Source organism: Homo sapiens, chromosome 15, assembly GCF_000001405.40.
Source record: "Homo sapiens chromosome 15, GRCh38.p14 Primary Assembly".
In the NCBI taxonomy this organism is placed as follows: domain Eukaryota; kingdom Metazoa; phylum Chordata; class Mammalia; order Primates; family Hominidae; genus Homo; species Homo sapiens.
In genome coordinates, this window is record NC_000015.10 from 89,336,506 (window position 1) to 89,359,737 (window position 23,232).

The 23,232-nt window shown below is 49.5% G+C and overlaps 1 long non-coding RNA gene across 1 annotated transcript, besides 6 other annotated features; it reads right to left on the bottom strand.

Moving 5' to 3' along the window:
* Positions 335-504: a silencer, noted in NCBI's record as "fragment chr15:89880071-89880240 (GRCh37/hg19 assembly coordinates)". NCBI's record gives its function as "represses an EF-1alpha promoter that drives an FKBP-Casp9 reporter gene in an ReSE screen in HepG2 liver carcinoma cells {active_cell/tissue: HepG2}" and the evidence as "EXISTENCE:reporter gene assay evidence [ECO:0000049][PMID:32094911]".
* Positions 11,994-13,193: an enhancer, noted in NCBI's record as "P300/CBP strongly-dependent group 1 enhancer chr15:89891730-89892929 (GRCh37/hg19 assembly coordinates)". NCBI's record gives its function as "activates an origin of replication core promoter dependent on BRD2, BRD4, P300/CBP, MED14 and CDK7 cofactors, with strong dependence on P300/CBP, by STARR-seq in HCT116 cells {active_cell/tissue: HCT116}" and the evidence as "EXISTENCE:reporter gene assay evidence [ECO:0000049][PMID:35650434]".
* LOC124903549 (uncharacterized) lies at positions 17,408-22,161 on the bottom strand. Its single transcript, XR_007064750.1, has 2 exons — positions 22,078-22,161; positions 17,408-17,732 (listed from the first exon to the last, which is right to left on the bottom strand). It is a non-coding gene; the product is annotated as an uncharacterized LOC124903549 (long non-coding RNA).
* Positions 22,253-22,547: a silencer, noted in NCBI's record as "tiled region #10069; K562 Repressive DNase unmatched - State 4:PromP". NCBI's record gives its function as "represses a minimal TATA promoter and a strong SV40 promoter by Sharpr-MPRA in K562 cells {active_cell/tissue: K562}" and the evidence as "EXISTENCE:reporter gene assay evidence [ECO:0000049][PMID:27701403]".
* Positions 22,265-22,544: an enhancer, noted in NCBI's record as "active region_10050". NCBI's record gives its function as "activates an Ori minimal core promoter by ATAC-STARR-seq in GM12878 lymphoblastoid cells {active_cell/tissue: GM12878}" and the evidence as "EXISTENCE:reporter gene assay evidence [ECO:0000049][PMID:35858748]".
* Positions 22,605-22,664: a silencer, noted in NCBI's record as "silent region_6794". NCBI's record gives its function as "represses an Ori minimal core promoter by ATAC-STARR-seq in GM12878 lymphoblastoid cells {active_cell/tissue: GM12878}" and the evidence as "EXISTENCE:reporter gene assay evidence [ECO:0000049][PMID:35858748]".
* Positions 22,725-22,774: a silencer, noted in NCBI's record as "silent region_6795". NCBI's record gives its function as "represses an Ori minimal core promoter by ATAC-STARR-seq in GM12878 lymphoblastoid cells {active_cell/tissue: GM12878}" and the evidence as "EXISTENCE:reporter gene assay evidence [ECO:0000049][PMID:35858748]".

A 23,232-nucleotide genomic window follows, 5' to 3' on the forward strand; every position in this document is an offset into this window, starting at 1 on the left:
ATTTGTCCTAATATTTGAATACCTTTGGTGTCCTTTGTAATCCTTCATGTTTTATGTGCTTAAAAACACTATTCTTCCATATAACCAAAAACTGCCTGTACCCCTATTGAAATAAAAATTAATAAAACATATTTCACAGAAAAAAATTAAAAACAGAAACACTACTCTAGGCCAGGTTCAGTGGCTCACGCCTGTAATCCCAGCACTTTGGGAGGCTGAGGTGGATGGATTGCCTGAGCTCAGGAGTTGAAGACCAGTCTGGCCAACATGGCGAAACCCCATCTCTACCAAAAAAATACAAAACTTAGCCCGGCATGGTGGTGCACGCCTGTAATCCCAGCTACTTGGGAGGTTGAGGGAGGAGAACCTCTTGAACCCGGGGGGCAGAGTCTGCAGTGAGCCGAGATTGCACCATGGCACTCCAGTCTGGGCAGCAGAGTGAGACTCCATCTCCCCACTCCCCACCAAAACAACAACAACAACAAAAAAAAGAAAAAAAAGAAAGAAAGAAACACACTATTCTAAGAAGGTGTCTATGACACAAAAAAGCTAAGAACCCCTGGCCCAACTGTCCACAGGGGCTGCTGTTGCTGGGCCTGATTGGCCTCTCCTGAGATTCAGTCTCAGGAGATGTCCATCAAGATGCCTGCTCCTCCCATAGACTACTTGAGACTAGCCTAGTGCCCTGGTCCTGGAATTAGAATCTTCAACAAGGACAAAAACGGTTGATACTGATTCCTGCTGAGGGAGGGTACCTGGAGGCCTGCACCCTTCCTGCCAGGCTACACCCTGTTTCCAGGCCTTTCTGAACCCAGCTCCTCCACTTCCCCTGCCTCCTTTTCTAGGAACTCCCCCACGTCCTTCTAGAAAAGTCTGTCCTTGATAGTGGTTCCTGAGAAACAGTTACATTTTCCCACAATTCCCTGGACCTCTCCCCCCACAGAGCAAGAGGCAAAGTTCATTAGGACCCCTGTCCTCATCAAAACACTCCGTACTTTTTTTCTTCTTCTTCTTCTGAGACAGAGTCTTGCTCTGTGCCCAGGCTGGAGTGCAGAGGCGTGATCTCAGCTCACTGCAGCCTCCACCTCCCAGGTTCAAGCGATTCTCGTGCCTCAGCCTCCGGAGTAGCTGGGATTACAGGTGTGTGCCACCATGTGGATCTAATTTTTGTATTTTTAGTAGAGACTGGTTTCACCATGTTGGCCAGGCTGGTCTGGAACTCCTGGCCTCAAGTGATCCACCCGCCTTGGCCTCCCAGAGTTCTGGGATTACAGGCTTGAGTCACTGCGCTGGGCCAGAACACCCTGTACTTTCAAAGCATGTACCTCAGTTGTAACTAATGATGATTTTTTAAAAATCTCCCCCTTCCACTGCTGTAAATGCCCATAGGGACTGACCTTGTGTCTTATTTTGAGCTCAATTCCAGGACCTGCCTGGAGCTTGGTAATAACCGGCACTTGCTAGCTGCCAGGTGCTGTTCTAAGGGCTCACATATGTCACTTAAGTGAATCCTCACATCGACCCTTGGATAGAGGTACCGTTATCCCCTTTCACCCATGAGGAAACTAAGGCACAGAGAGGCGAAGCAGCTTGCCTAAAGCCCTATAGCTGGTCATTGGTAGAGCTGGGATTTGAATTCATGGAAACCAGGATCTCAGCAACTGCACTACACGGCAAATACTGGCTTTATGATGCTAGCAGAGGATCCCTACTGCACAACTGTGTGCCAGGCGCTGCACGTGCACACTGATGTGGCCTCCTACATCACTGCTGCTGACTAAGTAAGGGGCCCTCAGGTGACAGCCTGCTCCTCCAGAGTCCCTCTCGTGTGCTTACTTCCTGGTGACTTTCATGGTCTTCTCTCAGGTTTGCCAAGCCCAACTCCAGCAATTTCTGCCACAGACAGAAAATATCACCACTCTTCCTTTATCAACAGCTACCACTTGCAAATGAACCAGGCTGAACGCTTTAGAGCACCATTTTATTTAATCATTTCAATGACCCCATAAAGTAGGTGCTGTTATTATTCATTTTACAGATGAGAGAAGATAGACTCCAGTAAGAAGTGTGAAGTAAGAAGTGTGAAGCATGGTGGCTAATGCCTGCAATCCCAGCACTTTGGGAGGCCAAGGCAGGAAAATAGCTTGAGGCAGGAGTTCAAGACCAACCTGGCCAACACAGCAAGACCCCCATTTCTAAAAAAGATAAAGAATTTTTTTTAAAACTGGCTGGGTGTGGCAGTATGTACCTGTATTCCCAGCTACTCAGGAGGCTGAGATGGGAGGATCACTTGAGCCCAGCAGTTCCAGTCTAGCCTGGGCAATATAGCAAGACCTTCATCTCTAAAAAAAATTAAAAATAAATAAAACTTATAAAAAGAAAAAAATGAGAATGTGACCTTGTGACCTATGTGTGGAATTCAGGATGATAGCCATAGACTGTTTTCAAAACATGCTTCATATTTCGGGGGGAATAATTGGTTCCATCAACTCCACACAGTTTACGAACAGGTCAAAAAGAAATTGATTGAAATGCAAATAATTTTTTCAGGATTGGGAAGCTTCCTGATGGGAAGAAACTGTGCCCTGTCATCTGTATGTCTGGCACACAGAGACAGACGTCTGTCATTCTTGTCCCCATCCCATTTTGTCCCTCCTTAGCTCCTGACCAAGGCTCCTGGCTCAGGGAGTTAGGGACAAGGCTTATTAACTAAGTTGAGCCAATCAGGACACTCCACCAAAAAAATTAACGGCATTGCCTTCATATCATCAAATATCCAGTCAATGTTGAAATTGCCAATGGCAAGAGCGTCTTTTTGCTTTAGCTAGTTTGGGCTGGATTTTCTGTCACTTGTGGTGGAAAGAGCTCTCACTGATTGAGTGCTTATTAAATATTTGCTAAACAAATGAATGAACTTTTTGAAAAAAGTCTTCAGCTAAATTTCACTGAGATGAGACTAGCTAGGCTGTAGGTGAGATTCTTAGATTTGCAAAATGCTTTGTAGTTTGTCATTTGCAACTACTTATAATATTACCTTCGCTCCACAACAATCTATGATACTGGAGGTATCTATGGTACAGGTAAGTATTTTTAAAGGAAATGTGATGTATTTCTGCCCTAAATTGAAAACTCCTGTCACTTTTCATAATATATACTATATATTATGTATATATAATATATACAATATAAATATAGACAACTACATATAACTATACAACATATAATTTATATATTAAAATATATAATATACATTTGATATATCATTTAGTTTAATGTGTTAAAAAAAACAACAAGCACCAGTAAGAAAGTCAACCAGCTTACAAAAAGTCATACCTGAATATAAGTTCCTTGGTCAGAAGAAAGAAACTTTTTGAGCAATGTGCAATAAGGTGATACTCCATTAATGTCTCATAGTTTAAGACAAAGATGAGGTTCTGAGTCAATAAGACAATTTAATTTTGAAAATGTTGATGTTAACCCCAAGAATCTCAGTCTACATGTGTATGTCACTAGAAAAGGCAAAAAAATTAAACTGCCATCTCTGATATATTTTTGCATACTTACACATACTAAACAAATATTGATTTCTAGTAGTAACATTTCTATAAATTACTAAAAAAAAAAGTTCCAATAGGAGTGGACACTGGGCCAGGCACGGTGGCTCATGTCTGTAATCCTAGCACTTTGGGAAGCCGAGGCAGGCAGTTTGCCTGAGCTCGGGAGTTTGAGACCAGCCTGGGCAGCATGGTGAAACCCCATCTCTATTAAAAATACAAAAAAAAATGAGCATCGTTTGGACCCGGGAAGTAGAGGTTGGAGGCAGAGGTTGCAGTGAGCCAAGATTGCACCACTGCACTTCAGCCTGGGTGACACAGTGAGACTGTGTCTCAAAAACTTAAAAAAAAAAAAAGAGTGGACACTCGAAGTCCAGGCTTTGTGGCTCACACCTGTAATCCCAGCAGTTTGGGAGGTTGAGCAGGAGGATCACTTGAGGCGAGGAGTTTGAGTCCAGCCTGGGCAACACAGTGAATCCCATCTCTACTAAAAACAAATTTTTAAAATAATGGTTTAAAAATTAAAAAGAGCGGACACTTGAATAGAAGGATCCATTCTGGAAGCATGTCATCAGGGCAGTGTGTCCTTCAGAGAGAAGGGCAGAACCTTCAGTTTCTGAATGACTGAAACGCCCATGGGTTCTGAGCCCTGGCCAGGGCCCTGTGGCCTGTTTCACCAGCTGCAAAATTGTACATTCCACCTCCTGACCTATTAGATCCCAGCCAGGCCCAGCCCAGCACAGCACTGCCCGCCGACAGCAGCCTTGGCTGACAGCCTTGACCTACAACCCACTGTCTGTGGCCTGCTGCAGACGGTAGATGCGTTTTTGGCAATTTATTTATCGCAGGAGCTTTTCAGCTCAAAACATGGGTTGAGTATAAATGGGGTGAAGAGAAGTGGGTATTTCTTTCTCACAGTGTATTTCCTTCTTTTGAGGAATATATTGGGCTAAACTCTTGGGGTCAAGAACTTTTGTGGAAATGGTGTTGTTCTCCTGTTGAAAGGGGAATCACCCATCCTATCCCAGGAACGAAAAGTGTTTCAGTTATCCAAGCAATGGAAGAAAACAAGAGCAAGGCTCCGCGAGCAGGTACTCAACGTGTCAGGGAGCATCGTCTCCCGCATCCTGTGTCTGGAAGCAAATAGCCACGTTGCTTTTTCATTTAATTGTCAGGACTTGCAGGAAAGATTCTGTATTTTTTTTCTTCAGGGAAAATGATGGACATGCTTGGTTGCAAAGGGTCCTTCAGTTTGGATTGGTCTGTATTTATTTATTTACTGCCCGCTTTGTTCCAGAAAGACTTTGAGGTGGCAGAGGTTAGTTGTGATCACATAATCATTGCTATCTGAGCATAAAGAGGGAAGCAGCTCAAACTACCTTGTGGAGTCCTGCCAAGAGGTGTAGCAGGGCCTGCCACTCTCACATGCCCCACCTCCCAGGAATCTGGCCATGCTCCCCTGGCCACAGCTGGCTGGACACAGGCAGGTGCCTGAGCAAGGTAGGCATGCGTCAGCCAGGCTTGAGGGAGAACAAACATCCATGAGGGAGGCTCAGCCAATAGAGCTGATCCAAAGCAGATGGTGACAAAGTATCCCAGTTATATCACCTTCTTTAGGGAATTGTGAGAAGGGACCCTGGCCATTCTCATCTGAGAGGACAGGATGCCTAGCGTCACTGGAGCTGGTGCTGCACCATGTGGTGATGAGGAGGCTGGCAGAACATCCCGGCCGTGGAAGCTCAGGCAGTTCTCCCCGCAGTGCTTGGAGGACTAGAGTGATGCCAAGTCAGCAGTCCCAGGAGTGGCTGGGATGGTGGCCGGGGTTGTTGATTTGCTAGAGGGCAGTTCTGTGGCATTCTGGAAGTCATTCTGGAGGCCCCACTGAGAACCCACTGTCTGGCCCCTCCAAAGTTTTTTAAGCACCTAATCTTCTGTACTACGTCTCTTTCTCATTAAAATATCTGGAAAGGTCTGTGTTTCCTGCAGGTGAACGCTGACTGGTTCCAGTGCCCTCCTCTGGGCTCCCACTCCACCTTGTGCATGGATTGCAGGCACTAAGATTGTTTAACCTTCTCCCCCATCAAAGTGGGAGCTTCCTGAGGCCAGGGGTTCTGTCTGGATTCTCTTACATCCCCAGCACCTAGCACAGGGCCTGCATTAGGAGGTGCCCAATCAGTATTTGTTAAATGAACCACCCCAGTGAGAATAAATTTCTTTTTCGCCTCTGTACCCATTGTATCATTCAGAGTTCAGACCAAGAACTAGGAAACAGACTGAGATTTTTTTGTTTTTTTGTTTTTGTTTTATTTTATTTTTATTTATTTATTTTTTTTGAGACAGAGTCTTGCCCTTTTGCCCAGGCTGGAGTGCAGTGGCACAATCTCGGCTCACTGCAACCTCCGCCTCCTGGGTTCAAGTGATTCTCCTACCTCAGCCTCCTGAGTAGCTGGGATTACAGGCATGTGCCACCATCACGTCTGGCTAATTTTTGTATTTTTAGTAGAGACAGGGTTTCACCATGTTGGCCAGGCTGGTCTCAAACTCCTGACCTCATGATCCACCCGGCTCGGCCTCCCAAAGTGCTGGGATTACAGGCATGAGCCACCGCGTCCAGCGTGGTTACCGCTTTTTTAAAAAATAATAATCACATCATCTTTTAATATATTTTCCTTTTTAAAAATAGAGATGAAGTCTCACTATGTTGCCCAGGCTGGTCCCAAACTCCTGAGCTCAAGTGATTCTCCTGCCTCAGCCTCCCAAAGTGCTGGGATTACAGGTGTGAGCCACCGCTCCCAGCCCTGGCTACCCTTGAAAACTTCCTGCAAACCACTGTCAACCTCTGACCCTGCTCTCAGGAGTCTAGGGGCCACAGGCAAGAGGGGCTGAATGCTAGCAGCTGGGGCCTAAACTGCCTCAGCTCGGGGACCAGCAGCATCTTGCAAAGCAGAGGGCCTGGGCTGGTGGGAAACTGCTGATGAAGCCTGTTGGCCCCAGACAAGGGGTGCGTCTGGTGTGTGTGGCCCTGGGCTAGGCAGGTAGCCCCAGGAATCCACAGGAAGAGAAGATGGGGATCAGCTGCCCCTCCATGGGTTTGCAGAAAGACTCAGTGGCTCCCAAATGTCAACAAAGGCCACTGAGGTATGACCAGTGCCCAAGAGGCAGGGACAAGGACAGACAACCTGCTGAGGACTGTGTCCCATTGCAAGAATCAGAGAGCAAAGGTGGCTGCCCTGACACACCAACACGGGGCTCCTTACCCTTCACTCTGGAGGTTGGTGGGGTCTGGCTGTCCTGGCTCATCCTTACCTGGGCTCCTGAGTGGGCCATCTTTACCTGGCAGAGCCCAGACTCCATGACCCCTTCAAGACTGTCTAGCCTCCTGCCAGCCCTGGGTCTGATGGGCCATGAAGAGGCCTGTGGATGGCGGAGGCCATGGTCAGGCTGGAGCCCCCATATCTGAACCTAAGCTCCACCAGGTGGGGGCAGAGAGGGAAGGCATGGTGGAAGCTGTCAACGCACTTCCAGCCCCAGTCAGGAACAGCACGGAGGGTCACCGGGGCACCCTGCTTTGCTCAGATGGGAAGATAAGGCTGGGGAGGGGAGGCCGGACCCACCAAGGGGCAGGCGCCCCCAGGGCGAGATCCAAGCAGCAAACTCTGGCTCTTCATCACCTCCATGGCCTCACCTCCACCCTGAAACTCTTGAGGGGAGCTCCAAAGTCTCCATCCCTTCCTAGAAACACAAGAAACTGACACCATTGATGCCTCCAGGTGGCGGGACATGGTAAGGGGGAGACTCTGACTTAAATCCTGTTGTGGCTTTCCAGTTTTGAATTGTGAACTTGTTACCTGTTCAAAAAGAATACATTATTTTTATATAATATATATATTTTAAATAGCATATTAAACTAAAACTTTTAAAAAAAGGAAAGGGGCAGTGCAGTGGGATCACACTCGTAATTCCAGCACTTTGGGAGGCTGAGTCAGGAGAATAATTTGAGGCCAAGAGTTTGAGACTAGCCTGGGAAACAGAATGAGACCCCCATTTCTACAAAATATAAAAAAATTAGCCAGGTGTGGTGGCATGCGCCTGTAGTCCCAGCTACTTGGGAGGCTGAGGTGGGAGAATTGCTTGAGCCCAGGAGGTTGAGGCTGCAGTGAGCTATGATTGCACCATAGCTGGACTACACTCCAGCCTGGGCAGCAGAGCAAGACCCTGTCTCAAGGGAAAAAAGAAAAGAACAGAAAAGCTTTAATCATCTCCCCCTCTCATTGCTCCCCCTCCACCCAGGAAAGCCAGGTAGAATCTCTTCACTCTTTTCTCCATGTTCCAACAAACATCAAAACACACAAACAGAAGACTTTTTTTTTTTTTTTAATTGAGCCGAAGTCTTGCTCTGTCACCCAGGCTGGAGGGAAGTGGCATGATCTTTGCTCACTGCAACCTCCACCTCCCAGGTTCAAGGGATTCTCGTGACTCAGCCTCCCAAGTAGCTAGGACTACAGGCGTGTGCCATCACACCCAGCTAATTTTTGTATTTTTAGTAGAGATGGGGTTTCACCATGTTGGCTAGGCTGGTCTCAAACTCCTGACCTCAAGTGATCCTCCTGCCTTGGCCTCCCAAAGTGCTGAGATTATGGGCATGAGCCACTGCACCTGACCCAGAGGCCTTTTTAAAAAACTTTATTTATTTACTTATTTCAAATATGGGATCATCCAATACCCAGTATTCTGTAACTGAAAGCTATCATTCAGCTGAATATCATGGACATCCCTGACTGATGAATAAACAGTCAGTTCTCATTATTGGCTGTAGTTATGGTCTATAAAGTCACCATGACCATTGAATGAGCAAATATGGAAGCATCGTTCCTAGAGGAAATACACATTTAGGTTCCTGTGAGCCTCTGCTCACAACATTTCAATCAAATGATCACTACATAACCTTGTGTTATGTGTGTTTCCATTTAAAGGCACCTTATTTACTACATACTGTTGATTCATTAACATTGAACTCACAGCCAACAGTGCTATAACTCATGCCTGATTGAAGCTAATCTAACATACGTATTTTATCTGTAAGGCACATCACAGCCTACTTGTGCTTGGGAACAGTAGAGAGCACTTCAGCACTGAGCTGGGAGGCCGTGTTACACAGCAAAACCACCAACAAAAAACACAAATATGTGAAAAGCGTGATCTGGAATAGACTGCAGAAAGAACATTTGTTTACAGCACAAGAGCTGAGACAAGAAGACAGAGCGTCCCCTTGTTCAACCTCACAAATGGCCACTCTGCAAATGCCCTCCAATGACTGAAAACGCCATGATTATGGATTTAGGGATTACAAATAAATATTAGAGAGTAGGCAAATTCACAAATGCTGAATCATGAGAATCAGCTGTATATAGATTTAAATGTATTTTCTAAAATTTCCACATTTAATCTTTTGGTGGGAAGGATTTTTTGCTTTTTTTGGTAAACAGACAAAAAAAAATGGTCACTAAAAAAGGCGGCTGGGCATGGTGGCTCATGCCTGTGATCCCAGCACTTTGGGAGGTCAAGGTGGGCAGATCATGAGGTCAGGAGATCGAGGCCATCCTGGCCAACACGGTGAAACCCTGTCTCTAATAAAAATACAAAAACATTAGCTGGGCATGGTGGTGCATACCTGTAGTCCCAGCTACTCGGGAGGCTGAGGCAGGAGAATCACTTGAACACGGGAGGCGGAGGTTGCAGTGAGCCAAGATCGTGCCGTTCCACTCCAACCTGGGTGACAGAGGGAGACTCCATCTCAAAAAAAAAAAAAAAAAAAAAAAGGTGGGAATTGGAGGTGGCAATTGGACTGTTACCTCCTCTGTTAACTGTTATCTGCCACCCTGGTCCCTGGGACAGAGTTAAAGTGGCAGCAACCTGGCTGGCCCCAGCCCTTGACATGAGTCTGGCCCAGGGTGGAAGAGGGCACAACTCTTCCTAAAGGCACACGAAAGTCTGATGACTGGTAGATAGTAAGCTGGACAGTGTCTTCAGGCTTCCCCACTTGAGGGCCCCTCTGACTGCGAGGGAAGCAACGGAGGCATTTTATCCCTGTTTTACAGATGAGGGAATGGGGTTCTTGAAGCCCTCTGCTTGAGGCCACATGGCGGTAGATGTGGCTGAGAGCCCTGCCCTTGAGCCTTTTGGCTTGAGGCTTCATGCCAGCATCCACGGAGGCACAGCTTCAGGGTCCCTGGTGGCCCAGCCACTGGGCAAGAGAGGATGCTCTTTTCCATCCCTGGGTCTGGCTAGAGGCCCTGGAGGGAGTCAGGGTCCTTGCCAAAGAGCAGCAGAGCCTGCCGTGAAGTGAAGGCTTCTGAAAGAAATGAGTCTGAATCCTGGCTCCACCTGTCCAAACTGTGTGACCTTAAGCAAATTACAAGGGAGCTTGCTGTGCCTCAGCATCCTTGTCTCTATAATGGGAAGGTGATAGCCTCATAGGGGGCTTGTGAGGTTTTGCTGCAGTGACACATGCAGATTCTCTCCTCAGCAGAGGCTTTGGTTTTGTGCCTGCTTCCCTGCCCCTCCCCGAGCTGGCCAGCCCAGCAGTAGCTCAGATAATGGCAGGAGAGAGCCAGAGGAGGCAGCCACATGCCTTTCATTCATTTGGCCCCACCTCCTAAATGCTGTATCCCAAGACTGAGCCAGGATGCCTGACATTGAAGCGGGAGGTACATGTTGAGGTCCCTTTACCGCTGAGCTGAGACAACTACAGTCAGGTCAGATCCCGGCTCATCCCAGCGCATAGGGCCAAGGGCCCCCCATTGCCAGCGCCAACAGGCCCCCCATAGACCAGCCTGTCCGGTCCCCTTATTTTACAGAGGGGAAGACAAATCACTTAGGATTCTATTGGCTACCAGCACCAGAAGCCTAATTAAAACCAATTTTGGCAGACAAAAGGGGAACTTATTAGCACATACAGCCAAACTGCAGAAAGGGACGGGACAAAAGGAGCCTGACGTCACTGGGGTCTTGTCCAGCTCTCGTTCCTTCTTTCTACAGATTAGACCAGCTTCCTCCTTATCACAGGTCCCTGGCTGTGGCAGCTCTCACCTTGCATCCACCTGGCTTTGAGACCTGACCCTCTCTTGTAGCCAGTTTACAAAATTTCAGGCCAAGACTCTGATGGGTCTTGTTTGGGTTACCTGCCACCCTAAGACCAGTCCCTGGGGCCTGGGTGAGGACCATAGTTCTTTTGGGACCATCTGTGGGAGACAGGCATGTGTGTGTTTTGGGGAGGGGGCAGTAACACAGATGTGGCTCCCAGAGGAATCAGAGTAACTCAAACACCCCTCAACCCTCACTCCCACCCCTCCCCCCGAAAGTGTATCAAGCATGGAAGTGGATATTTGGAGAGGGAAAATGACTGTTTTCTTTTCTTTTTTTCTTATAATTTTTTAAGAGATGGAGTCTCACTCCGAAAATGTGGGATTACAGGTGTGAGCCACTAGGCTTAACCAATCTTTTCTTTATACACCTCTGCATTGTTTGTTTTGTGATCAGAGGCATGTGCCATTTTTGTAATTTTTTTCAAGTTTCGTACAAGGACAAAAAAAGCAGGAATGGCTGCACACCTTAGGCCTTTCTCCTGGCAGTGCCAGCCTGTGGATACAGCTGGAATGACTTTGACATAGTGATCCTCACTCCTGGGCTCCTGCCAGTGACCCCAGCCCTCACCCCCAAATGATCCTCAGAGCCTCTGGGAACATCTCACATGGATTCAGAGACAAGGTGCACAGTTTGTTGGCTCACGGAGGACTGCCTGAGAGCCAGCAGGTCCCCAGAATGCACCTGAGGACCCTGCTCCTCCAGTGAGCAGGCAGAAAACAGTCATTCTCGAGACCATGGGGTATTTTGAAGGGTGGACAGAATGAGTGGCTAAAAGCTGGCTTTGAATCCTCGCTCTACCACTTCTTAGTACCATGTGATCTCAGTGAGTTACTTATCCTCTCTTGGCCTCAGTTTCTTCATCTGTAAGGTGGGGACACCAGTGGTACCTATGCATCAAATTTAATGCAAACCGCCTGGCAAATACCTGGCCCTTTATAAAGATCTTATAAAGGTTAGCAATTATTATTACTGTTATTACAATTATTATTACTGTTATTACAGACTTTATAAAATTTCAGAAAGTTCTCAAAGCTAACATGAAAATAGCCTTCTGGGCCGGGCGCAGTGGCTCATGCTTGTAATCCCAGCACTTTGGGAGGCCGAGGCAGGCAGATCACTTGAGGTCAGGAGTTCAAGATAAGCCTGACCAACATGGTGAAACCCCAGCTACTACCACCACGCCCAGCTACTACAAAAATTAGCTGGGCGTGGTGGTGGGTGCCTGTAATCCCAGTTACTCGGGAGGCTAACGCAGGAGAATTGCTTGAACCCCAGAGATGGAGGTTGCAGTGAGCCAAGATCGTGCCATTGCACTCCAGCCTGGGTGACAGAGTGAGACTCCATCTCAAAAAAAAAAAAAAGAAAGAAAAGAAAAGAAAAGAAAAGAAAATAGCCTTCTGGCTGTAACCCTCTCCATTCAGTAGGACAGCCTGGACTGTTTGATTCCCACTTAGACCCAAGCTGGCCCTCACCACCATCCATCCGCCAACCCACATGGATAAACAAAGAGAAGAGAATTCAAACCTTCCATAAGCCTATCACCCAGAGATAATCACTGCCAACATTTTGGTGAGGGCACTTCGTGATGTTACTATATTTGTAATTCTCAGCATGTACCATGCACCCACAAACCTGTTTTTCTCACCTGCACCGTGATATGATTATTTTTCTGTGCATTGCATGACCCCTTAACCAATAATATTTGCGGGGATGTTGAGCCTGGACATTGAGGCTGTTTTCCATTTATTTCCTGCCACACATGGTCTCCCTCACCCCAGATGGTTTCTGCAGATCCATGTGCTCTAAGGTGATGACTAACCCGTTAGCAGGGCTGGCAGCCGCCTCTGTGACACAGAAGGGTGGCATCACTGAGTTTCGATTTAGCTGAGACAGAACACCCACAGATGCCACCTGCACAGGCTGCCGGGAACATGGCTCTGATTTACACCACAAAATCCCTCCTGATCTAGAACTATCCTGTCTCCAGAAGAAAGGCTTTGGGCAGATGGAAACTGACCTTTGGAGAGACAGACGTTCTGACCCACTCTAGCTTGGAGTGAGATGATGCCACCCCTGATCTGGCTGGCCTCAGAGTGGGGACAGGGCAGGAGAAATGCGCAGGACACACCCTCCCTCCCCAGCCAGGCTGAAATCAGGGCTGAGTCAGCCTGGTGTAGCCTGTGTTTCCAAGGTAAAGACGGGACTTCATGGCTAAAAGGAGCTGATGGCAGGTTCCTGAGTGTGTGGGAGCTGGGCACAGGGGAGTGTGTGGTCAGAACATGACAGCAGGTCTCTCGGGGAGAGAGGGATCAAAACGGGCTTTCAGAAAGGATGGTGGTGGGGACTTCAGCCAGCGGGGCAGGAGAGTCCCGGTGATCAAATGACCCAATGACCCAATGGCAGCTAAGGCCTGTGAGCCTGGAACACACACTTGGGGAAATGGATGGAGGTGGTCTTTGCATTGTAACAATTCCTGTGCTCCTGAACCCACACTGGCCCCAGCAGGCTGCAGTTCACCAGCCAAGGTGGGACATGGGGTTGGGATGGTGCCCGTCTCTTATGGGCTAAAGTGTGTCCCCCCACCTCAATTCGTGTGTTACAGTTGTAACCTCCAGAGTTAGCACCTCAGAACATGACTGTAATTGGAGAGAGGGTCTTTACAGAAGTAATTAAGTTAAAATGAGGTTGTTGGAGTGGGCCCTAATCCAATACGACTGGTGTCCTCCTTAGAAGAAGAGGCGATCTGGACACAGACACACATAGAGGGAAGACCAGGTGAAGACCTGGGGAGAAGACAGCGGCCACCTACAAGTTGAGGAGAGAGGCCTCAAAAGAAGCCAGCCCTGCCAACACCATGAGAATTGAGAAGAAACAAATATCTGTTGTTTGAGCAACACTCTCTCTGTCGCCCAGGCTGGAGTGCAGCGTCGCTATCTCGGCTCACTGCAACCTCTGCCTCCCAGGTTCAAGCAATTCTCCTGCCTCAGCCTCCCGAGTAGCTGGGACTACAGACACCTGTCACCATGCCTGGCTAATTTTTTTGTATTTTTACTGGAGACGGGGTTTCACCATGTTGGCCAGGCTGGTCTTGAACTACTGACCTCAGGTGATCTGCCTGCCTCGGCCTCCCAAAGTGCTGGGATTACATGCGTGAGCTACTGTGCCTGGCCCATCACCTTTTAACAGACCTAAGCGTCTCCTGCCCTCCCCCTTGGTTGCACACACCATTAAGAATCAAGGTCTTCTCCATAGGCCTCAGCAGAAGGAAAGGTTTTGCTTACCTTTACTTTCTATAGGTGCATTGCATAAACAATGCAGAATTTCATTTTTCCACAAAGGAAATTGTATCTCAACTTAGGATTTTGTTTTGTTTGGTTTTGTTTTTTTTAGACAGAGTCTCACTTCCATCACCCGGGCTGGAGTGCAATGTGCTCACTGCAACCTCTACCTCCTGGGTTCAAGTGGTTCTTCTGCCTCAGCCTCCCAAATAGCTGGGATTACGGGCACACACCACCACGCTCAGCTAGTTTCTGTATTTTTAGTAGAGATGAGGCTTTGCCATGTTGGCCAGGCTGGTCTTGAACTCCTGACCTCAAGTGATCTGCCTGCCTCGGCCTCCCAAAGTGCTGGGATTACAAATGTGAGCCACCATGACTGGCCAGGATTTTTGAAAGTTATTATTTTTATTTTTTTTCTCACTCTGTTGCTCAGGCTGAAGTGCAGTGGTGCAATCGTGGCTCACTGCGGCCTTAATCTCCAGGGCTCACACAGTCCTCCTGCCTCAGCCTCATGAGTAGCTAAGTCTACAGCACGTGCCACCATGCCTGCGTAATTTTCTTTTTTTAATTTTTTTTGTGGAGACTGGGTCTCGCTCTGTTGTCCAGGCTGGTGTCAAACTCCTGGCCTCAAGCAATCCTCTTGCCTCGGCCTCCCAAAGTGCTGAGATTACAGGCACCTGGCCGGACTTTTTAATAAGTGGCATTCCTCTTTACTTAAATCTTCTGATATGCATCATCTCCCCTTAATTCCTCTCCCTTTGCAATATGCACTGCTGAGGGGAAGGACCAGGCCACATGTGAAGGGCGCCCCCCCCCCCCCCAGAGTTAGGCAGTTCCCAAACTGCAAAACTGTCTGTGGTGTCCCTGGCTCAGGAGGCAAACCCAGTTGAACACAGTTGCTCTACAAGCTGTCAAAGCTGGACCTGTCACAGTGTGGGGATTGCAGCAGTCACTAATACAGGCAGAGATGTCTGCAGAGAGGGAGAGTGCCTGCCAGGTTCCTTCCGAGGACAGAGCAGGAACCTGAAAACTTATTTCAGGCCTGAGGGTGGTATCCAAACCTTGGTTGGTATCCTGTGGCCTTAGCCAGGAGGGTCACTGTACTCACTAAAAGGGATACAAAGGCAGCCAAGTTATAGGGATTTGGCAGAGACATAAAACTGAGGCATGAAAGCAGGAGATGGAGACCAGCATCCACTGAAGGGTAGAACCTGAGGAGGGCGCAGCACCGGGTCACGTGCCCAGCACACAGGCTTGAATGCAGTTGCCAAAGCCCCAGATGACCTGCAGCCTGGGGGTATTCCTGCCTGGTTCACCCACCCTCATGGTTCTGCTTACACACATCCAGCAACAGAGAGCTCACCAACTCTGCAGGAAGCCCATCTCCTAACTGGGCAAATCAGGTTACTGAAAATCTCAGGCAACTATAGTAGCTGCCAGTGGCTAACATGGATTGATCACCTACTTGCAGCCATTATTCTCAGTGCTTTCTAAAAACAGTCTCCTTTAACCCTTTCAATAACCCTGTGAGGAGGGGACTACCACTAGCCCATTTTACAGATATGAAAACTCAGATATGGCCAGGTGCAGTGGCTCATGCCTGTAATCCCAGCACTTTGGGAGGCCGAGGCGGGCGGATCACTTGAGGTCAGGAGATTGAGACCAGCCTGGCCAACGTGGTGAAACCCTGTCTCTACTAAAAATACAAAAATTAGCCAGGCATGGTGGTGCGCACCTGTAATCCCAGCTACCCAGCTACTAGGGAGGCTGAGGCAGGAGAATCGCTTGAACCCGAGAAGTGGAGGTTGCAGTGAGCCGAGATCATGCCACTGCACTCCAGCCTGGGTAACAGAGTGAGACTCCGTCTCAAAAAAAAAAAAAAGAAAGAAAAAGAAAGAAAACTCAAGTACAAAAAAGTTGTCAGTTGGCCTAAGTCCCACAGAAAATAAGCAGTGGGTAGAAATGGGAGTCGGGGAGATGAGAACATTGGTCTCAGGCTCAGAGTCCCCAGTGGAGCTGATGAGGAACTCCAGTCTCACCCCACTTGGCAGGTGCCAGGCATGTCAACACACTTCTCTGTAGAGGTACCAGGAAAGGCTCTGGGGTTGGTCCCCCTGCTCCACTGCCCCACGGCCTCTGCTCAGCTGCTCAGCTAGGGCTTAGGGCGGCAGGGCCGTCCTCAGTGAGCCTTTAGGATGTGTTCCTGCTGCTGACTTGCATGTCCCTTGGGTGTGGGTCCCTATTCTCCCCTACTCCCATTCAGTGTCTACACTGCCCTGACTTGACAGGCTCCTGTGGTGAACCCTGCTGGCTGCTACCAACCTGAAGCCGGCCCCAGTTTAGGGCATGTGTTAGGGTGTTCCAGAGAAACAGAACCACCAATAGGGTGTGTATCTGTGTATGTGTGTGTGTCTATGTGTGTGTGTGTGTATGTGTATATGTGTGTGTGTATATATATATATATATAGAGAGAGAGAGAGAGAGAGAGAGAGAGAGACAGACAGACAGAAAGAGATTTATTTCACAGAATTGACTCACACAATTTTGGGGCTGTGGAAATTCCAACATGAGTTGACTTTGCTGTCTTAAGTCCAAAAGCAACCTGGAGGCAGAATCTCTTTCTCTTTGGGGGATCTCAGTCTTTTCTCTTAAAGCTTCACTTGATTGAACGAGGCCCAGCAAGTTATGGGGAATAAGCTACTTCAGTCAAAGTCTACTGATTTAAATGTTAATCACATCTAAAAAAATACTTTCACAGCAACATCTAGACCAGTGTTTGATCAAACAACTGGCACCATAGCCTAGCCATGTTGACACATGAAATTAACCAGCACAGGGCAGTTCTGGCTTCTGGATCGACCCCACACTGTTCCATCTGCCCTCTCAAAGGGCAGTTCTGACTTCTGAAGTGACCCCACACTGTTCCGCCCGCTCTCTCACAGGTGGACCCTTCAGATGTTGCAGAAAATGGCCAATCACCTTCTCGGTCTTCTCTTTCTAGGACAAACTCCTTCCAGGCTTGTCTACTCACTCAGCCTGATGACCAAAGTCCTCACTGGCCTGGACGCTCAGTCGCTCAATGCTACCCCACACCTTTTTTTTTTGGAGACAGAGTCTCTATCATCTAGGCTGGAGTGCAGTGGCACAATCTTGACTCACTGCAGCCTCCACCTCCTAGGTTCAAGCAATTCTCCTGCCTCAGCCTCCTGAGTAGCTGGGACTACAGGTGTGCACCACCATGCCCGGCTCATTTTTGTATTTTTAGTAGAGATGGGATTTCACCATGTTGGCCAGGCTGGTCTCGAAATCCCGAGCTCAAGTGATCCGCCGGCCTTGGCAGATTATAGGCGTGAGCCACTGTGCCCAGCTGCCCCTTTTAATTTATGGTACCCATCTTAGGTCAGCATTTCCTAAAGCAGACCCCAATCATCCGCATGCTGATAATTTATTGGGGAAGGACTTCCAGGAGAACTAGGGAGTGGGGGAAGCAGGCCAGGGAAGGGGCAGAAGCCAGGGAAGGATGGGATTTCCAGTGAAGTCTCAGCCTCAGCCTAATCCTGTGGAGGGCTTCAGAGTGTGGGTTGCACCTTAGAGCTTGTCCTCGCTTGAGGGAGCTGAGCTTTCCTACTCCTGCACAAGACATCATTGGCTTCAGGCTGCTTGGGGGCTGGGGTCAGGGCATAAACTCCCAGGCACTTGCAGCTCTGCTCATGCAGCTGATGAAGCTCCAGTCCTCTGAAGGAGGTTGCAGGTGCTGGGGGATGGACAGACAGATCCAGTAAGCAGGTTGGGAGGGGATCTGGGTGGAGAACCAGCTCTGTCCACTGCAGCAGCCATCCCGAGGATGGTCTCCACACACAGGTCTGGGAAGGGCAGGAGTTTGTTCTTTCTTTTCTTTTCTTTCCTTTCTTTTTTTTCTTTTTTTTTTTTTTTTTTGACGGACTCTTGCTCTGTCACCCACGGCTGGAGTGCAGTGACATGATCTCGGCTCACTGCAACCTCTGCCTCCCAGGTTCAAGCAATTCTCCTGCCTCAGCCTCCCAAGTAGCTGGGATTACATGTGTGCGCCACCACGCCCGGCTAATTTTTGTATTTTTAGTAGAGACAGGGTTTCACCATGTCACCCTGTTGGTCAGGCTGGTTTTGAACTCCTGACCTCAGGTGATCCACCTGCCTTGGCCTCCCAAAGTGCTGGGATTACAGGCATGAGCCACCGCGCCCGGCCAGGAGCTGTTTGTTTACCAGTCTCCTGGTATGAGCACCCAGTGCACTGCCTGATCTGCGCCACATATCCAAGAAGTGTCTGGGAAATTAACAAAGGAAGGAAAAACACAATATCAACCAGGATTTGTGTAGGAACTAAAAACAATGCTGATGTTTTAAGCAGAAAGGAACTTAATATAGGGAATTAGGCGATTACAAAATTGTTGGAATGGCTAGAAAAGTAGTTGTGGACTAGGTCTGCAGGAATGACACCCAGAACACAGTAGCCGGCCGGCTGCAAGAGCTACCACTTCCGTCACTACCTGGGAGGTAGGAAACTAAGAGCCGTCCCATAGAACTGTTGACTTCAAGAACACACTGCTGTGGTTGTGGTCCAGGGATCAAAAAGTCATCATACAACCAGGCACAGTGGCTCACACTTGTAATCCTAGCACTTTGGGAGGCCAAGGCAGGTGGATCACTTGAGGTCAGGAGTTCAAGACCAGCCTGGCCAACATGGTGAAACCCCATCTCTACTAAAAATAGAAAAATTAACTGGGCGTGGTGGTGTGCGCCTGTAGTCCCAGCTACTTGGGAGGCTGAGGCAGGAGAATCGCTTGAACCCGGAAGGCGGAGGTTGCAGTGAGCTGAGATTGTGCCACTGCACTCCAGACTGGGCAACAGAACGAGAATCTGTCTAAAAAAAAAAAAAAAAAAGTCGTCACCACTGCCAACTATGACATTGCTTCTAGACTATCAGGAAGCAGAAGACTTGCATGCTGGAGCATCTTGGTGGAAAAGCCCCACATCTCCACTGCATTGCTTAAAGGCAGCTGGAAGATGGCCCCTGCCTCACTTTCCCCTTGCAAATTGCTTCTAATTAGTGCATCTAATTCATATCCAGAATACTAGTTTGAAGAGCATCTAGGTAAAGTAGTTTTGCTTTTCTAGTTTGTACAGTACAGGTTGGCATTTAACTAACTTTGTTAGCACTCTTGCCACCAAATTGTTTGTTTGTGATAAACTTGTGGTCCATAGGAACCCTAGATTTTTTTTCTCCAAAACTTGCCCCAGGGTACATTGTGTGGGGGCGTTGTGTGTGGAAAAATTCAAAGGCTTTTGTTGCAGTCTCTTTCAGAGAGATGCCAGAATTTGCCATGGGAACAAAGAAAACATATAGAAACATGCTGGGTGTTTCCACAGCTTCTTATGTCTGGAAGTTGCCATTTTTCAATACACCAAATGTTGACTGTGTCTTCTGTGTCAGGAGCCGGGAGTTTGGGGATAATTGAGACAGCATTCCTCCCCTCAATGGGTTCACAGTCATATGGGGGAAGCAGATGAGTTGAAAGAGGCTTGCCCGGGCGTGATGGTGCCTGTAATCCCAGCTACTGGGGATTACAAGGCTCTCAGGGGCACAGGTCTCAGAGGGAGCTCATACGCCTGTGAGGGACTTGAGGCTTTCTCCTGGAGCCAGAAGACCCTTACCGACAGATGTCAAGCAAGGAAGAGACACAATCAGATTGGCATTTTAAAAAGGAGAATCGCTTGAACCTGGGAGGTGAAGATTGCTGTGAGCCGAGATTGTGCCACTGCACTCCAACCTGGGTGACACAACGAGACTCCATCTCAAAAAAAAAAAAAAAAAAAAGAAAGAAAGAGGCTTGCAATAGAGTCTGCTGATAAGCACTGGCTGGCTTCTTTTATGGACATTTGGATTATGTGAACCAGGAATGGGACAATATAGAACTATTATTATTATTATTTTGAGACAGAGTCTTGCTGTGTCGCCAGGCTGGAGTGCAGTGGTGCGTTGAACTATTATTAAAAGGCAGTGTAACATAGAGTCTAGGAATTTGGACTCTGGGCTCTCATCCTGTTTCAGTTGCTGATTAGCTGAGACTTGAGGCAAATTGCTTAACCTCTCTGTGCCTGGGTTTTCCCATCTGCCGGGTGAGGATAGTAAGAGCAGCTCTGGCATAAGCACAGCTGTGAAGATTAATAACAAAGTGCTTGGAGTCGTGTTTGGCACAGCATACCCACTCGGTAATCGTTAACTGTTAGCAAATTCTCACCCTGTGAACAAATCTGAAAAATGCAAATCCTAAAACATTTTAAACGTTAATCAATAAACTCATCATTCTGAGCTGGCGTCCAAATGGATTGCAAACTGTGTTTGTCACAATTGCCACGTGGTGGCGTGCCTGCTGCTGGCTCTGGGGAAATTGAATTATGCCAGTTCTGAATGGTGCCAGCCCTTCAGGAGGCTGGCCACCATGAGACGTGCTAGATGTCCTGCAGTACAGCCCAGGGGCTGCTTAGGCGGGAAGGCACACAGAGAAAAAGGGCCGGGCTTGGCAGAAGGGGGTTGGGGTCAGAGGGCTGGCAGGAGCAGAGGACAGAATCCTATGCAAAGCAGGCCAGAGGAAAGGAGTAAGACTCCTGCTAGGGCAGGGCATAAGCCATCTGAGAAAGTCTCTCTCTTGCCCTTTATCTCTTGCCAGTCCCATGGCCTTTTCTCCGCTAGTTTATTGACTCGCCTGCTCCATTTTCCCAGTTTCTTTGTCCCCTTATCACCTGACCACAGCACTGACTCCAGAGGCTGTTGAGCTCCCCCTGCTCACTGCACACCTTCCCAGTCCAGGTCTCACTTCAGTGCTCAGGAGAGACCCTGGTACATTCAGGCCAGACCAGGGATTAGCCCTCGGGGGTCAGTGGCCATGCCAGCTTCAATTAATTAGTTGTCAGCGGGGAAGGGAGGATGAAGGACATAGAAGTATGGCCAGTTAGGCCCATCCAGTCTTTAGGTGAAGGAAGAGGCCACGATGGATATGTTCAGGTCAGAAAGTTTCATGGAGGAGTGACATTCACCGAGAATCTGAAAGACACCCCAGAGGGAGGAGTATTCCAGGCAGAGACACTGTAGGGTCACACAAAGGCAGGGAGGGGTGCAAGAGCTTGGGCCTTAAGGAAATGAGAGATGCCTGGGATGGTTGGAGTGTCGGGTTCCTGAAAATGGGAACAAGGCTCTCAGGGGGACAAGTCTCAGGGGGAGCTTGTATGCCTGTGAGGGACTCGAGGCTTTCTCTTGGAGCCAGAAGACCCTTGTCAAGCAAGGAAGAGACATGATCAGATTGGCCTTTTACAAAGCTCTCTCCCCAGCAGTGTGGATGCCATATTGGAGGGGGCTGAGTTCTGAGGTGGAGCCCCAATTAGGAGACTTCTGAAGTCATCCAGGTGAGAGGGGAGAGGTAGGGCTGGAGTGGCTGGGGCTGCATTGTGGCTCCGGCAGATTCCAGCTGTGTGACCTTGAGCACATTACTTACCCTTTCTGAGCTTTATCCCTAGCGGTGCCTGGCATATAGCAGGAGCTCAGCACATATATGTTGAATGAATAAGTGAATGAATGTCAAAAAGCCATCGAAATGCGTGGCCAGACTGAAGACAGAACACCATGCTGAGCCTGAAAGGACACTCATGTCACGGGGCTGGGAGCCTGGGGAAACATCTCCAGACCTTCCAAATCCCGGGCCTTGCTCGCTCATCTCATCGTTACCTCTTGCCCATCTCCCACCTTGCCCTTGGAATAAGGGATCTCCGGATCTGATGAGAAAGGGCTTTTATTTCTTAATTTTCTGAGGCCCTGCAGATATGAGAGGGACCCTGGCGGAAAAGAAAGCCACTGAGATGGGGAGGGCAAAGCTGCAAATGGACTGGACCTGCCATGAAGGCAGGGTTCTTGCCAGGCTGCAAGAATCGAGGGTAAGGTCCCAAACCTGCCCCGTCCGCTTCAGTCTCCAGAAAGCCTTCCTGAAGGAGGCCAAGATAGCAGAGGTGCCAGTCTTAGGTGGAAGAGGAGGTGAGATTTCACCCTGTCCCTCATTCTGTTTCCTGACCTGTAGTGGTTGAGAGGCAAAGAGGTGCCCAGCTCTCCTTAGATTACTGCATCTTCGTCCCCTACACTTAGCCACAAACCGCCAGGCAGGTGCCCAAGCACCGCCCGCGCTGCGCGGGTCCCGAGCCGTTCTCGACATCGGTGGCAGCCTCAGCCGCGCTCACCTGCATCTCCCCGGAACGCCCACCAGAGGGCGCTGTTGGACAGCGCGCAGAGCCAAGCTTATGGGGCGGAAGAGCTGCGAGGTCAGCACCGCCGACTGGAGCACTCGGGGCGGGTGGGCAGGACGAGCGGAGGCCGTGGGTTGGAGCGTGGGAGACCTTCAGGAGCTCCTACGTCCTCTAAGAGGCTTGGCGTAGTCCGGCGAGGTCTCGGGGGTGCGCGGACACCAGCCTCCTCAGCCTCAGGTCTGGAATCCGGCGGGATGGGGGACTGGGCGACGGCATTGTGAGGGCTCGGCGGAGGCGCCAGGGGGCGCTAGCTGGCTCCTCGCAGCCGATCCAGGCCGCGGCGGTTCCACGAGGTCCGGCGCCCCGCGCCCCGCGACCCGCGGTCCTGGCCAAGCTGTCAGGGAAGGTGCGGCGGAGACCACCCGTTCCTCTTCTCCCTCCCTCCCTCCCTCTTCGGCCGGCGGGGAGTGGCGCCCACCATCCAGCCTGCGCCTCTGCGCCCTGCACCCCCATCCGCACCCTTTCTCCGGCCAAGTTTCCCTGCGCCCCCGTTCCTGGTACCCGCGCCGGCCTCCGTGGCTCCTCCACGGCTCTCTCCTGGAATTAAGCTTCCGGGAAGGGTTTGGCCGATTCTCAGACTGGAGAAGGCGGGCCCCAGCAGAGGCCCGAGTGATTTCGAGAAGCCCCGTGGCTGGGCGTCGATGTTCGCCCTGGACTCAGTGACCCAGTAACCCCACAGCAGGAGGAACAGGCTCGCTACGGGGTTAGGGAACCTTCAGGCGCCGAGAAAAAGATACGCAACGGCAAGCCATACTTTTCTGGACACTGGCTCTGGGGGCGCTGCTCCTCTGAACCTCGACTTTCCCCAGGCACGCACCTCAGAGCTGAGCCCCCTGGGGACTCCCAAGCTCTGCGTCTCCCTGAGTCCTGAGGCAGGAGAGGAGGAGGCTTCAGGGGCGGATGAGCCTCCTCCCCCTAGCCGTACC